At 45.3% G+C, this 16,791-nt stretch overlaps 1 annotated feature.

Annotated features, from left to right (window-relative positions):
- Positions 15,337-15,537: a silencer, noted in NCBI's record as "peak365 fragment used in MPRA reporter construct". NCBI's record gives its function as "represses an SCP1 promoter by STARR-seq MPRAs in K562 erythroleukemia cells {active_cell/tissue: K562}" and the evidence as "EXISTENCE:reporter gene assay evidence [ECO:0000049][PMID:32103011]".

Here is a 16,791-nt window from a genome sequence, read left to right on the forward strand (position 1 = left end):
CGTCCTCCCAGTTTCTACAGAACTTTTGCTTACTTCTGCATTTTGTCAAAACTTTTTTTAAAAAAATTCTGAGGCCAAGAATAGATGTAAAAGTACGAAGAAACCCCCAGTTTGGGGGGATAATTAAAACCCTGGTTTCCTTTGTCGGTAATTGTTAGAATCTCTTGGCTCCAGGGCTTTCTTTCAAGTCCCCATCTCCACTAGCCTCATCTCTGGCCTCTGGCCAAGGTACAGAAGACAAACAGGACCTGGTTTCCCTCCAACTCACTGCCCCTCAGGCCTGGCCTTTGGTCTGACTGCTGCTTCTTTCTCTAACTCAGAGTCCTGCAGCATGTTATCCATAGCTTAGGGGAAGATCAGCACTGAGGGATAAGCCCCAGGCTCTCAGCTCCCAGGGGAGAGTTAGGGCCCCAGCTCCAGGAAATTCTCCTTTCTCTCTCTCTCCCCCGGCATATGGAGGCAATAAGGATTATACCCAAGCTCTGAGTAGTTACAGTGCTTATTGAGCAAAGGAGGGAGGAGAAAATCCTCTTTTCTTCCTCCCCCCTTCAAAGCTGATGAGAAATCAGAAAAGCCTGGTGCAGAAGCTCCTGGCCACCTTCTTCCTTTCTCATCTCTGTGGCACGCCTGGCCTCTCTCTTTAAATCTGTACTGGCAAGTGCCTCTGAACATCTTTCTGGTTACTCTCCAGGCCTCACCTCACCTTGGAACCTCCAGAGGAGTGTGTCAGATGATGTCCCAAGGGGTGAGATCACAGGCAGGTGACTTCTCAGTAGCCTGGATAGGATGAGAGAAGAGGCTGAGCCTGGGGCAGGACTGTGGCAGAAGTCAGGCTATGCTGTCAGGCTCACATGGCAACTTTCATGTCCCTGGACCTGCCCGGGCCACCTTGCTTACCCATAGCCCCATATCCATATCAGAGAGAAGCTCCTGGGTAACCCCTACATGCAGCCAGACTCAGTAAGAGTTGCATTACAACCACACACAGCCACACACACCCCACATACACAAATCCCAAACTTCAATGAGCACTATCTTTTTCCCCTGAAGGTTGAATGGGGAGACAGAGATTAACTTGCACATCAAATGCCAAAACTTCACAGACATCCCTTTTACCATCTCTGTACTCATTCCACAAATTTCTTCTCCCTACAGCAGCGACTTCCTCTCTCTAAGTTGCTGTCACTGTCCCTCAAACTCCTCTCCTCACAGCCCTCTCCAGCTAAATAGATTTCCACACAAGCCTCTCAAAACCTGCTAGGATATTCAACTCAGAGAGGCCAAAGAGAGCCAATGAGAAAACAATGTACTTAGCTGGGTTCTTGGCCTTGAGGAACTAAACTCATTCTGCCTCACAGGAGGGCATTTGAAGGGGCCCCAAAACCCTAGTTTCAAAGTGCCCCTCACCCACTTCTGATGGCTTGCTAAGACCCCCACTGCCCCATCCTTGGACTAGAATCAGAAGTGAAGAGTTGAGTCTCAGTTCCACCACTTTTTTTGCCACAGGATCTGGGGTAACAAAAGGCACTTGGAGAATTTCACCCTGTGTTCCCACTGAGTTTGTCTCAAGAACTAGTGGGGACAAGTGGTGACCCAGCAGGTGTCTGCATGAAGTGTTTGAATGCATGATGGAGTAGACAGAGCCCCTGCCCGGGATTCCACTGGGCAGGAAGAGCCGGACAGAGAAGGGAGGGTGGGATGGCGATAGACAGGCCACTGCAGAGACCAGGGGAATGGGGTCACCCCCGATCTCATCCCAGGCTGCCACACTGGGACCGAAGATGGAGTTGTTCCCCTGGTGGCTCTGTCTGTGAGAGCAGGTGCTGGATTAGCCTCCAACTTGCCAGCTTGGCCCCTGACTTGAGTACCAATGAGGGCAAGATGAAATCTCCCCTTCAGGCCTTTCTTATCCTGTGGCTCCCGCACATGCTTGAGCACACGTGGGCTAATTAACCTGAGCGCTTGAAGCTGCTGATCTGTGCTGTGTGCACCTGCGTGTAAAACTCTCATGTCTACATGGCCTGAAGTTACTCAGTCTTGTGTGAGGGATCTCACTCCCTCTTAGACAGAAGCTCCTGGGTGGCTGAGATCATCTTCCTCCCTTGGGGTAGGAGATCCCAGAGGACAGAGGGGAGGAGAGGGTACCGAGTGCGGGGCAGCTCTGTGCTCTCTCCCCCATTCCCCAGATGCCTGACTGCCACAGTGTGTCTACAGGTCTTTAGGACAATAGCGCTGCCCATCTGGATCTGCAGGAGGTGGAGGAAGAGGGCTCACGGGGCAGAATCGTGGAGTTTGGAGGGGCTCTCAGTGGATGCTCCTATGGGTCTTCCCCCTTTCCCGATGTTTACCTCTACTTTCCCTGTTCAGACCTACACCACGTAGAGATTTGATGTCAACAACTAGTAAGCCTTATAATTTTTTACTAGGGAAAAAACGAATCAAAGGCCATCATTTGCAAATAGTTTAAAGTTCCTGTGTTTCCTTTTCCAGGGATGCTTGCATCTGAGCCTGCTCTCTCACTACGGGGTAAAGAGCATGATCCCAGTGAAAGGAATTCCAGGTTTCAGTGATGGGAAGGGGGAGTAAATGTTTGGTTAGGGATATCTGTCTACCGCAGGGTAGGACCTACAACAGCTATGCTGTCCCCAGTGGGAAATGTACTCTGGAGATCAGCAGAAAGGTCCAAGGAGGGGATGGGGCTTAAGCAGAACTGCCTAAAAAACAAGGTGACAAGGCTGCAGAGGTAGAATGCTGTGGTAGGAAGAGTGCAAGATAGAGTCAACAGGCATGAATTCTAGTCCCAGCTGAGCCATTCTATAGGTCTTAAATTCCTGATTTTAAATAATAAACAGGAAGATCTTTTGGATTATTTTTCATACCTAACATGTATGGTCACATAGAAGGGAAGCTGAGGCATCCAGTGAGCAGGGATCAGTGAGAGCTTTGCCAAGAATGTAACAGAAGCTCCCTTGGAGCAGGCCCCAGCCCATGGAGGACCAGGGATGGGCATCTGGAGGCTCAGGAATGCTGCTCACCCTTCCAGAGACATTGCAGGAGCCAGGACAGTGTGAGCCAGGGCAACCCCAGGCACAAAATGTCTGCACTGAGGGCCTCCAGGGAAGGGGACCAGGCAGGGTAAGTCAGACCCCTATCAGGTCTCTCTCCTGAAAGTTTCCTTCTTTCAGCAGTGCCATAGCCAGGGAGCTAATAATGATCTCCTGCGTAATACCATCTAGATGAAATTCAAGGAAAGGTAAAAATCAGGACAGTGATGACCCATTCAGAGAGAAAAGGGGCCCAAGAGAGCCTTCTGGGGTGCTGGGGGTGTGCTGTATTTGATCCGGTGGTGGTTGCATGGGTGGGTACATACCAAAATGCATGGAGCTGTCCACTGAGATTTGTGTAGTTTACTGCATGTAAATTACAAGTCAAGGAGAGATTAATAACAGAAGAGATTAAAAACGGTTCCAGGCCAGGAAGAGCAGTGCCTGAGACAGAAAGAAAAGTGAGGGGAGAGTGGGAAGTGAGTTGCCACAAGGAAAGAGCTAGACATACAGGGGAGGTGGGCCTGAGATGCAGGCACAGAGAAGACGGAGGAACAAGGGAAGGAAAGGAGAGGAGCAAGGGAGAAGAGAGAGTAACAACAACCAGTTCTTGGCACAGTCAGGGCGATATGGCTGCTTGGTTTGAGGCGTCAGTTTGCCTTAAGGTCCCTTGAACCACTCCTTTGTCTTTTAAAGATGGGAATTTTGAGAGCATTGGCATGTCCAGGAGATTAGCAGAGACACCTAACAGGTCTTTGGCAAGTTGCCAGACTAGTATTTGTGGCCACATAGGGTGTCAGGGGTTGGGACAGATCTCTGATATTTCTACAAATAGATGGCCTTGGGACTCATCGTCCTGCAGCAGTGCTGAGTTGAAAAGAAAAGAGTTTCTCATTGAATTTTTCAGCTTCTGCTGTCAGGAGAAAACCTGCTCATCTAACATTAGAGCTTGCAGTTGGCTGAGATGTGACATGCGCCACTTAGAGCGGGACGACATTGATGTACAGTGTTAATATTACGCTCTAAGTGGCTTCTGTATGTTATCCAAAAACGGAGAATAAAACTGAGCAATTCATTTCTTCTTTTAAAAAAAAAGGGTGGTTATTAAAAATGACTATTCAGAGGCTCAAAGTCATAGAATGGACCCAGTATCATTGGTGTGGGCAGCCTTCTCACTGTCAGGGAGCATATGGCCAGTGTGTGTCCTCATTTGTCTTAGAAGAATCAGGAAGATGGAACTCCTTGAGGGAACTCTCTGGGGGCCCTGGGCAGCCTCCTCTGCTCCCCGCATCCCCAACCCTTGCCCAGTGGAACGCAGCCAAACTTGGTGTCCCCGCCAGGCCCACCTCTATTTTCCATTTTACCTACCGGCCAAGAGTGAGGGCCATGGAGTCCAGCTGCCTGGGTTAGAATTCTCTCCCCATTACTTACTCACTGTGGTACCAGAGTACCTCGGTTTTCTCATCTGTAAAACAGAAAAACAATATCTACCTTTTAGGGTTATTATGAAGATTAAATGGCTTAAAACGTGTAAAGCATTTAGACATTCACATGCCTGGGACATTTTAAATGCTCAATAAATGTTGTTATTTTGATCATTATCATCATCATAATCCCTGGGCATGCATATTCCCCAGCAACCCTGGTGTTTTTTGCTTCTGCAGACCCAACAGGCTGAGATGTCTCTGCCTCTTCATTTCCCCTGAGCAGACGCCTCCTCTGCGGCTTAGTTTGAGTCCAGCTGACTGCATCATCTTCCCTCTCTCCTTGCCCTCTAATAGTACAAAGAATTGACAGTGGATTTCTTTCCACAGTGTCTACCTGCACAGGAGATGTATTGGCAGTTTTGGCAGCTAGAGATGTGGTTTCTATGGTGAACCACCTGGGAAAGACAGCAAATTCAGTAAATGACTCAGTTCAGTGAGTGCCCAGCCAGGGCTAGATGCCGTGTAAATAAGACCCAGGCCCAGAGGGTGGATTTGAGTAGTTTCAGCAAAACCTAGACCTTTTTACAGAATATCTGTATTCTTCTCTTTTATCTCCTTACATGCACACTAACTTCTTGACGGCAGAGCCTGAGTCTTATTTATATAGCATATAGCCCTGGCTGGGCACTCACTGCACTGAGGTGTTTACTGCATTTGTTGTCTTCTCCTGGGTGGCTCACTAAAGAACCCTCAGCCATAGCTGGAAGCCAAAACTCTGAAAAGTTTTCCTGTGGCAGTAGACACTGTGGAAATAAATCCGGTCTGCTGAAACCAGGCAAGGGGAGCCCTTTTGGGAAGAGGTAATATACTTCCCTTCATATGCTACCCAGACTTCTCCCCTCAACTGTGTCTGCCAGACATCTCCACTTGGATATGTAACTGGCATCTCAAACATAGCATATCCAAAACAGAACTCCCAGTGCTCCTACTCAAACCTGATTGTCTTGTCTTCTTCTCCATCTCCATCAAGAGAGCTTGATCCTTCCATCTGCTTAAACCAAAAATCCTGGAGCCAACCTGGACTCCTTCCTTTCTTTCACAATCCATATGTAATCCATGAACAATTCTGGGCTCTCTACTATCCAAATATGTCCTCACCCAACCACTTCCTATAGTGGTGTGCTGAGCACTGATTGTTAAATATTCATGAAACTTGCAATCTAGCTGTTAAACTATAAGTACTCGAAGTCAGCTGTGGTGGGACTATTTACACCACAGAAATTGGCAGGTGCTACAAATCAGGGCTTTTGTTTTTATTTTTAATTTCTTTTCCAGAGAACTGGTTCACCAGAACTCCACTGACTTCTTACCCCTTCCACTGCTGCTCCCACTCCAAACCTCCATCCTATCTACCGGGATCATTGCAATAGCCTCTTACCTACCTGGTCTTCCTGCTTTTACTCTTGCCACCATACAGTCTACCCTCAACATAGCAATCCTTTTAAAACACAAGTCATATCATGACTAGGCTATACTCAAAACTCTCCAGTGCCTTCCCATCTTACGCAGAGTAGAATCCTAGTTTGTAACCCTGGCTAACAAGGTTCTACACATCTGACCCTCCATCACTTCTCTGATCTCACTTCTTCACTGTAGTCACATGGGCCTCCTTGATGATCTTTGGACATGTCCTGCATTCCCTGCCTCAGGGACTTTGCACTTGCTGTTCCTTCTGCTGGGCAATCTCTTACCCTGGGTGAGTTCACGACTTTCTTGGCCATTTCCTTCAGTTGTCTTTTTATGAGACAGAGAGCAATCTTCCTGATTACCCTATCAAAATCAGCTTCCCCTCACTCTGCCATTGTTTTCTGTTCCCTACACAATCCTTCACTTCTCTATAAAATGTCTATTGCTACTTGAAACATACATGTTTATTGGTTTATGTGGCTATTGTTTATCTCCCCACTTCTATCCTGGTTAGAATACAAGCTTCATGAAGGCAGAGACCTTGTTTTGTTCATTTCTATGCCATTAGTGCCTAGAACAATGTTTGATACATAGTACGTGCTCCGTAAGTATAGGTCAAATGAATGATGCTGCCCACACCCCTGAGATGTCCCTCTGGACAGAAGGTATCATGATAGCAAAGTGGAGCAATTGCTAATGCTTTACAAAGAGACCACCCTAGGACTCCAGTTCTCCTGAGCATCTCTTATAGCTATCAGGGATTGAAAGACAACACTTCCCTGAGCAAATACCATTCAAAGTGCTAAGATCCCTGATGAGGATAAATTCCTCAATAAAACAAAACTTAAATATATAGGTTTGAAATCAAGCTGAACATAAGCTATTCTACCAGCATTTACAAGGGAGTATTTTCCTAAGACAGAACTAAAGTTTCAGGCTGAATTGATAAGAAATCAAATGTTTGATTTCTTCCTCTTCCTCTCTATGGGCCAGACTCCAAGTGAAAAAAATGACACATGTATATGAATATATATTAGAGAATATATGTGTATATATATAATTTTATGTGTCAACTTGAATATATATATTCAATGACTATATATAATTTTATGTGTCAACTTACATATATATATATACACACACACACAATCTGTGTGTGTGTGTATTTAATTTTATGTGTCAACTTGACAGGGCCTCGAGGTACCCAGATATTTGGTCAAACATTATTGTGGGTGTGTCCATGAGGGAGTTTTTGGATGAGATGAACATTTGGATTAGCAGACTGAGTAAAGCAGGTTGCCCTCCCTAATGTGGGCAGCCCTCATCTAATCCCTCGAAGGTCTGAATAGGACAAAAAGGCTGACCCTTTCCTGAGTAACAGGGAATTTCTCCTGCCTGACAGCTTGAGTTGGGACATTGGTCTTTTCCTGCATTCAGACGCAAGCTGAAATACTGACTCTTCTGGGTCTGAAGTCTGCTGGCTTTCATACTGGATCTTACATCAGCTTTCCTGGTTCTCAGGCCTTTGGACTTAGCCTGGAACTATACATCAGCTCTCCTGGGGCTCCAGCTTGCCAACTGCAGACTTCTCAGTCTCCATAATCATGTGAGCCAAAGGTTTAAATAGTAAACCTTTATATACACATACACACCCCCCACACACCATATTGGTTCTTTTTCTCTGGAAAACTCTGACTGACACTATTTATACACAAAATATGTGTGTATACATGTGTGCATGTGTGTTGTGTATAAATATAATTTGAGAGGCTATGGCTGATGGGCTGGGGGATGTTTACAGGCAGGCAGAGATGATCATAGATGTTCTTTAGGCAGAAGTTCCTGGTAAAGTAAGGCACAGTTGTTCACATTCTTGCTATCCTTTTGTTCACCAGCAGCTGTCTTGCTGCCGCCTAACAGGGAATCCAGAAAGCAGGAGAGTTGGGCTTTTCCTCCAAGGCAGTGTGTGCACTTCAAAGTCTTTGTCCCATCTGTAGATTCAAAGCCATCCCGATTCAGGATACACAGAGTGTGGAGGTGGCGCAAGATTAGGTTGTTGGCCTTTTCCTGGTCAGGGTGGCTTTACACAGGTAAAAGGAAAGAAGGATGAGCAATGTAGAGTCCATTGTTTCACTGACTCTCACATATTGGCATTTTCTTCTCCAAGTCACCCAAAATGGAAACTTCAGAGGCATCTCTCACTCCTCCTCACCCTACCTGCTTCTCTGTCATCAAGTCCTAGTGTGTGAGGCTGTTCTTGCATTGCTATAAAGACATACTCGAGACTGGGTAATTTATAAAGAAAATAGGTTTAATTGGCTCACAATTCTGCCGGCTGTGCAGGAAGCATGGCACCACACATCTGCTCAGCTTCTGGGGAGGCCTCAGGGAGCTTTTACTCATTGCAGAAAGCAAAGTCAGAGCAGGTGCATGACATGGTGACAGCCAGAGTGAGAGAGCGAGGCAAGGTGATGCCACACATTTTAAACAACCAGATTTCACGAGAACTCACTGTAGCAATGACAGCACCAAAACATGTAAGATCCACCCTCATGGCCCAAACACCTCCCGCCAGGCCTCACCTCAGACATTGGGGATTATATTTCAACATGAGATTTAGAGAGGACAACACTTAAAGGTTCAACTAGCAATATCAACATTCCTTCACAGAGTCATAAGAAAGGGTTAATCACCACTACCTGTGGGTAGAGGAACTAGTAGAAAGAAGAAAAATTTTTATTTTTAATTTTAGAGCTTTCTATACATGTATACATACACACGTGCATATATGATGTGCTAATATAAACGATCGTGTCTATGAAATACCTCCTTTTCCTTTGCAATGTCCTTTCAATCTGCTTTCTTTTGCCACCCCAGTAGGGCCCACATCACTTCTTGCCTCCCTTACACAAGCCTCTCCCTCCCAATCAGTCCTGCACACTGCTTCCCTCAAACACTATTTGAAGTTATTCTGGATCATTTTCTTTCTCAAAATAATACAAGGAGATGACTATCAAATGTGAGATTGCCTAGCTTGGTGCCTGCTGCTCAGGAGGCCCTCAATGAACGCTAGTTTCTTTTTACTTTATAATTCTTCAGAGGGTCTCACTGACCAAAGAGCAAAGCCTGCCTCTTCCTAGCTGGTGCCCTGGGATGCCTTCCTGTCCCAGTTAACACTGGGCACACTATGCTCCAGCCATGCAGAAAAGCTCTGGGATGCCCTCACACCTGCTAATCTCTTACCTGCCCTTTCCTGGCTACAGAAACCCTGCCCGACCCTTTAGGGACCATCTCAAAAGCCATTTCAGCCACAAAGCTTCGTAACAGCACCCCACTCTGTACTGCCACAGGACTTACTGGTTCTATGTTTTCTTTGTTAAAAAATATATCACTTTTGGAAATCATATATTGATACCTTTGAAATGCTTCCCCCATTTCTCCTTTTTCCTTTACCTCCACTTCCTATGTCTCTCTTCCATTTGCAGTTTATTAATTCGTTCATTAGCTATGTATTGAGTGCTTGCTGCCTGCCATGCCCTGTGCTGGCCACTGCCCTGTACGTGATGAACCAGTCACCCGTCTCCTTCCTCTTCCTCTCTAGCTGGGGAGGCTTTGGGGTGAGGGGCACTCTCAGAGATGCTGAGAGTTGAGCAGAGACTTGCATGAGGCTAGGGATCAGCCATGACAATATCTGGGGGAAGAGCCCAGGTAGTCAAGCCTGTGGAGGGAATGGGCTTGGCAGGTTAGAGACTAGCAGAAACTGGTGTGGTAAGAGAGGAATGCATGGCAGGCAGAGTGTAGGAGATGAGGCCAGAGAGGTGGTCAGGGCCAGGTCATGGGAGAGAAGGGCCATGATTTGATTTTCATTTTTAAATAATCCCTTGGGGTTCTGAGTATGGAGTAGACTTTCGGATGTGGGGCGGAAGATTGGAATCAGGGGAGCAATAGGAAAATGAGGTGAGAGACAATGGAGCTTTGGAACAGGGTGCAAGTGATAGTGGCAGATTGGAGATATCCTTTGAAAGAAGCCCATCATGGCTTGCTTGTGAACTGGCTGTGAGAAAAAGGGGAAAATCAAGAAATACAGTTTTTTTTTTAACTTTAATAGTGAGGCCATTTATTGAGATGAGGAAGATTGGGTTAGAAAGGGATTAGGCGTGGGCACTGGAGGTAAGAGTTACATTTTGGACACATTGAGTTTGAGATGCCTATTAGACACACCCAAGGGGAAACTTTAAGAAGGCGGATAAGGCTGGCTTCCAAGAGAAAGATTCAGGGTGGAATTGGCTGACTCAACTGCCTAAGTAAAAATTTCAAATAAATACAAAGTCCTTATCATTCATTCAATAAACATTTATTGAGCACGTACTATTACTATGAGGTTGAACCACATGAAATAACCGTCTTTTCATGCCAAAAATGGTCAAACACTGGCCAATTTCATATGGTTTAAGCTAACATATCCAAAGTGCCAGGCCAAGCAAGGGTTGTGAGAGACGAAGATGCGTGAAGTACAGCATCTGCTCTCCAGAAGCTGACATTCCAGAATGGGAAATAACATTTTTGTTTAAATCTAGTAATAATAACAAGCACTTATAAAGCAGTTACTATGTGCAGGTACTATAATAGGCACATTGCATATATTAAGTCATTTAATCATCACAACTTTATGAGATAGCTACTATTATTATTTCTTTAAAATGGTAAAAAAAAAATTTTGCTTAACCAAGCTGTTGTGAAAGATAGCTGCAAATTCTTTGCCACTCACCCTATGGAAAGGTAGGGCCTATCTGCCCCTGCCCTCCAACCTCCCTCAAATGCTGTGACTGGCTTTGATCAATACAATAAGATGCAAGGGGTGCTATGTAATCTTTAAGGCCAGGCTGCTTTAAGAGATCTGTAGCTTTTACTTCTGACCTCTAGGAGCATTCCCTGGTAGAAGCCAGCTACCATGTTAGAATTCTGACCACCATGCCCCTAGGAAGCCCAGGCTTACAACACACAGACAGAGATGACACGTGGAGGAGCTGAGGTGCCTGAATGACCCCACCTGACACCTCCTAGAACAGAATAAACTCCAAGCTGAACCCTACCCAATTCTGGCCCATAGAATTTTAATAAAATAAACTAGCTGTTCTTTGATGTTATTAGGTTTTAGGGTGGTTTTCTATATAGCAATAGATAACCAGAACATAAGCAAAAAGTAGCTAAGCTGGGATTTGAACCCATGCTGCCTGATTCCACAATTCGTGCTCTAAACTACTGTATATACTACCTTTCCAATACATGGATTGCATATGATAAGCACTGTTGAGTGATTAAACTGTAAAGTCTAGTGATTTTTCCCTGACAGTGACGTTGACACAGCTAGTCAAAGAAATTAATATTCTCACCTAGCAGATACATTTGGAACAAGTTTATACATCAAAGTATGCATAAATCCACATAATCTCATCACTGAAACCATAAAATACATAATTGTATCTTATCATTAACATCCAGTGAGAAGTAGTGAGTATATTCACTTTTTATTGCTGCATAACAAAATGAGCAACCTAAAACAACATATATTTATTAGTTCAGTTTCTGTGGGCATGGAATCAGGCATCGATTACATGAGTTTTCTGCTCAGGGACTCACAAGGCTGCAATTGAGGTACTAGCTGGGCTGTACTCCACTGGGAAGCTTGGGGTCCTCTTCCAAGCTCATGTGGCAGATTTCAGTTCCTTGCAGATGAGACTGAAGTCTACATTTTCTTCCTGGCTGTTATTCAGGGCCTGCTCGCAGTTCCTAGAGGTTGCCTGCAGCTCCCTGCCACGTGGCCTCTCACAGACCCTCACATCGAGGTGGCTTCCTTCCCTCAGGCCAGCAGGAGACTCTCTTTCTCCAGCCTGCTAAGACAGAGTCCTATATAACAAAACTATGTAATCATGGGAGTGACATCTCATCACCTTTGCCATATCATATTGGCAAAAAGCCAAATCAATGAAATAGACAATCTATATTGTGGAAGAGGTGACAGATACAAATTTATTCCACATGCTCTAGGACTTGAGAGGAAGCATGATGTGTGTCATCGCCTCTTCTATTACATGGTGGAATGAATTCTGGGTAAGAAATCAGAGTTCCTTAATGGGCACTGAGGACTACCACAGGAGGAAAAGAGGTGGGGAGCAAGGGTTAAAAAACTAGCTATTGGGCACTATGCTCACTACGTAGGCTTGCACCCCAACCGTCAGCATCACACAATATACCCATGTAACAACCTGCACATGTACCTCTGAATCTGAAATAAAAGTTGAATTTTTTTTTTGAGAAATAAGAGTTCCTGGTTTTAGTTTGGGTTCAGTCACCTATGATTTGTGTAATTTTGGGGTAAGTTATTTAATCTTTGAGATTTGTTTTTGCTTCCTCATCTATAAAATGTGGTAGGTGATGTATACAAAAGGGTGTTATAATAACAGTAAAATTTACAAGGCTTTTCAAGCTCAAGTACTAAGCACGTTTAAAGGCATAATCAACCCTTCTCATCTTCCCTTCCTTCCCCATTGTCGTTTCCCTTCTCAGCACAAAACAGCCAGCAGCAGGCCTGTCACACAGTGCTATGGGGGGGGAACGAAAAGAGGGGAGCCATGAAAAGGCATATCGGACAGTTCCATCTGGCACCCAAGGATGTAGGGTGGGTGCAGGAAGCAGATAGAGGAGATGGCCTGCATGTGTGGGAGATGGGCTACCTTAGCTAATAAGTAAATGGATTGAACAAATAAGTATGTATATTAAGAATAATGAGAACCAGATTTCCCATTTTGGGAAATGGTACTAACAAACATGAAAAGAGGAGAGGCTAGAAAGAACCCTAAAGAGTTGGATTGGAATTGGAGGACTCAGTATGAACTTGTGGTTTCTATACGCAAATATACAAATAGTACAAATGTGTGTATGTGTGTTCATATATACATACATGTGTTTCCTAGCTCTGTCTGCTGCACAGGCCTAGAAGCAATGAAATCACAACACAAAGGGCACACCGCATGTTCCGATCATGGTCGTTCAGTACCATCCACCACTGAAAGGAACTAGTACCTTTTAGAGAAACAATTGATTCCAGGCTGGGATGGGATAAGTACAGGATGATTCTGGAGTATCTTTTGTGCTAGAAAGCAAAAATGCTGAAGGAGTGATCGGGACACATCAAAAGGACACAGGAGCTACCTTGAAGGGGTTCTCGCCGGCTAAATCTGGGATAATTTGAGCATCAAAACGTCCCTATTGAACAAAATAGGACTCCATAAGTCCACACTGATAGAATAAATAGATAAATGAGAAGAAAAAGCTTTTTAAAGTAGAATGTCAAATAAATGAGTATGAAATCATGGAAATAAAATATTACCATTTGGCAACCACCAGAGTGATAGTTGATCAGTCATCGATGGAGGCCAAGGCTGGTGGGTAGAGGTTAGATGAGGAATACGATATTGGCGCTATATGTAATACTAACAAATTATAAAAGGAAAGTGGTGACTTTAAGATGGAAAACTTAATGACATGACTAGGGAGTCAACTGATGTTGAAACAGGTCAACATCCTGTGCTCCCAGGGTGACACACTGAGAGGAGCATGGTGTCACTTCTGCAGTATTCCTGCCAGGAAATCCTGCCTGACTCTGCCAAGATGAAACATGAGACTGCCTATGCTAAGAGACATCCTAGAGAATGTAAGACCTGTCCTCTTGAAAGTGGCTGAGGACATGAAAGAACTCTTCCAGATGGAGGAAACTAAAGAGACATGAAAACCACATGCAACACATGCTCCTTGACAGCATCCTGGACCCAAAAAGAAAGAGCCATTGCTGAATAGAGTCTGAGGATTGAGTGGTGGTATTGTACCAATGTTGACTTTCTGATTGGTGGGGTTGTGTGGTGGTTATGTGGAGAAGGTCCTTGTTTGGAGGAAACACACATTGGGGTATTTAGGAGTGATAGGACATCATGTCTACAGCTGTTTCAAATGGTTTAGAAAATGACTGGTGGTAATGGGTATAGATAAACACAGGTAAATAAATCAGCACACACACATGCATAAAGAAAATGCAGAGAGCTAATAACAATGAGGGAATCTGGGTGATGGGATATGGCACTGTACCTACATACTTACAACTTTGCAGTAAGTTAGAAGTTATTTCAAAATAAATTTATTTTTTTAATGCAGGGAGAAAGGAGTAACCTAATCATCTTTCTTCCCCAAGGAGATTTCAATTCCTTGAGAAAAAGTCTGTCTTTTACTCCCGCTGATTTCCTGGCATACAGAGAATCCTTGACATAGACTTGCTGCAGGCAGGCCAAGGCAAAAATTCAGTGCTCACCCTTGCAGAGTTCTGGCTCTCCCACTGCAAGTTTTCATGGGTTGAGTTAGATGTCACATAATTGATCAATGAGGGATTACAATTTGCTTTCACAGGCCACTATTGGTTTTACCTCAATTGCCCTCAGGAGCAACATGACTAGTGACATCTTAAGTGAGGGAAGAAATTGGTGGTGAATGGTGCAGAATCGTAGAGCTGTTCTGCCTCAGTGGCTAGCCAGTTCATGGCCTGGCAAGCATCTGCTGACCATCTGTGGCTGGGAGCCAGGCTGCCATTTCCTTTGATGGTCTAGATAGAATCTTGTTGACTTGGGTCTGGATGTATGTTTTGTTCAGGATTCAGTGACATTTAAGTTTGAAGTTGTCAGTTTTGATCAGTGTGTACCTTTGGCTTTCAATAACAAAATACACACATAAAGCTATACAAGCACCTTTATTATTGAAATTTCTGCAGAAATAATTCTGTTCTATAAGTCTGAAATTCTCTAGATTCTCATCCCTTTTGTTCCGCAGAAGTAATTGTTTATGTGACACAATTTTTTGATGTTTCTTTTCTAAAGACTGTGGCACTAGGCTAGAACATTCCAGAATTGCAGATTCTCAGAGTCGAAAGGGGACTTACAGGTTGTCAGTGCAGTGTCTGATCTAGAATGTAGACTGACTTCCACGCCATGGACCCGAGGGTTACAGAGCCACAGGTGCCACTTTCCCCAGAAGGAATGGAGCATGAGCCAGCAAAAAGTTGTCTTTCTCAGCTATAACCAGAGTTACAAAGCACTGATCCTCCCAAATCTCCAAACCCATGCAGAAATTCTACCAACACAGCCTATGGGGTCCCAGCTTCTGCATAAACCCCCTAGTGATGGGGATCTCTGTGTCTCCCAAAAATCTCCTGCTGAGGCTCTCGAATCTACTACTCGGCTGAGGTCTTGGTGTTTGCTCCTTCTCTCCCCTCCTCACCCTTATACTTTGCTCCGTCCTCCACTTCTCAGCATACCCACCCTGGGCAGGCCAGATCTGGAGACACATTTTCCCTCAGCTGCCCTGCAAAGGGTGCTGTGGCTGTCGCTTGCCTGAAGTCTCTTTGACGGCTTTGTGTTCTGTGCTATAAATAAATGATTTTGAATGCTTATCTGCTTGCCTCTGTCTGCTTTTCAAGTTATTTTTGGGTGACAGGCATCTTCTGTGTTAGGTGGGGGCCTGCATTATTGAAGACCATGCGTGCCTTGTCAAAGGGAAATAAGGTCAGTGAGTGTGTGGTGGAGGCTGAGGTGGGTGGGTGGTGGGTGCAGGGCTTGTCAGTTCACATTCAGAGCAGTGCTTGTGTTCTCTTGCTAAGTGTACCAGGCAAACCAGAGAGACCCCAATACAGTCCAAGCCACTCCCCACAGGTAATCCTGAACTCAGGCTTTCTCTTCTCATTTAACTCTGCATCCACAGGCCCTTCTTTCTTAAAACCAGCAATGTGGAATGTGCAAAGGACCCTGAACTAAGAATGCGAGCCCTGGGTGCCTACCTTGACCTGCAACTTCCTGGCTGGGTGGCCTTGAGTGAGTCACTACTTCTCCATGTCTCCATTTTTTTAATCCAAAAGTGGGAGTGCTGGTTACTGCCCTGCTTGATTAGAGGGCTAGAAGGTGGGCTTTCATCTACCCCAGACTGCAGGCAGCAGAGGCCCCAGAACACGGCCAGGCCTGAGACTAGTCCCCACCTCCCCTCTCCCCGGGAGGCCCTTGGTGGCCAGCAGCAAGGACCTCAGGGATGTTTCTGGCTTCAGCTGTATCCTTTTGACTTTAAGATCCATGCAACAAACTAAAATAGAGAAACCTTGATTTACTGGGGGTTCACTTAAGATCAAAACAAGAGGAAGCTTGAGACCACAGCTTCTTCTATCAGGATGTCCTCCTCCAACTCCTGCCTGACATCCAGAGCCCCAAGTGTCCCCACCTGACTGACTATTGACTTCCCTCAGCCCTTACTTTTTCTTCCTGAGGGCCCTCCTCAGCCCCATCCTCCTTCTCCAAGACGCTCCTGCCACTGCCTTCAGGCCCCTCACCACCTCCACCAGGAGCATCTCTCTCTCAAATCCCTGCATCTCTTCCTCCATGTTTTTCAGGCCTCCAGTGCCTGAAGGCGGAGCTGAACTCTGAAGACATTTAGATCTTTAGCCATCAGTCTGAGGAGAAATCTGCATTTATTTTTTTTCTGAGGTTTTCTGAGTCTAATGAGAGAGAAGAATCAATTCAGCCACTCAAACAGTTTTGTAAAGCACAGCACCAAAGTGCTTTAATACTTTAGGAAAATGCCCACTGGCCTCCCTATTTGAGGACTTGTTCTCCTGCCTCTGTCCCTGCCATAGCAGGTTCCCCATGGAAATGGGTTGGGCTCCAGCTCCAGACCGCTGGGATTACCTTCAAAGCCCTGGATACTCATCTCCCCTCAGGTCCTTTGGTGTTGCTGCTGCTGCCAAGCTGTTTCCAGGGCATGGCAGC

The sequence above is a fragment of the Homo sapiens genome, chromosome 1 (assembly GCF_000001405.40).
Source record: "Homo sapiens chromosome 1, GRCh38.p14 Primary Assembly".
NCBI lineage: Eukaryota > Metazoa > Chordata > Mammalia > Primates > Hominidae > Homo > Homo sapiens.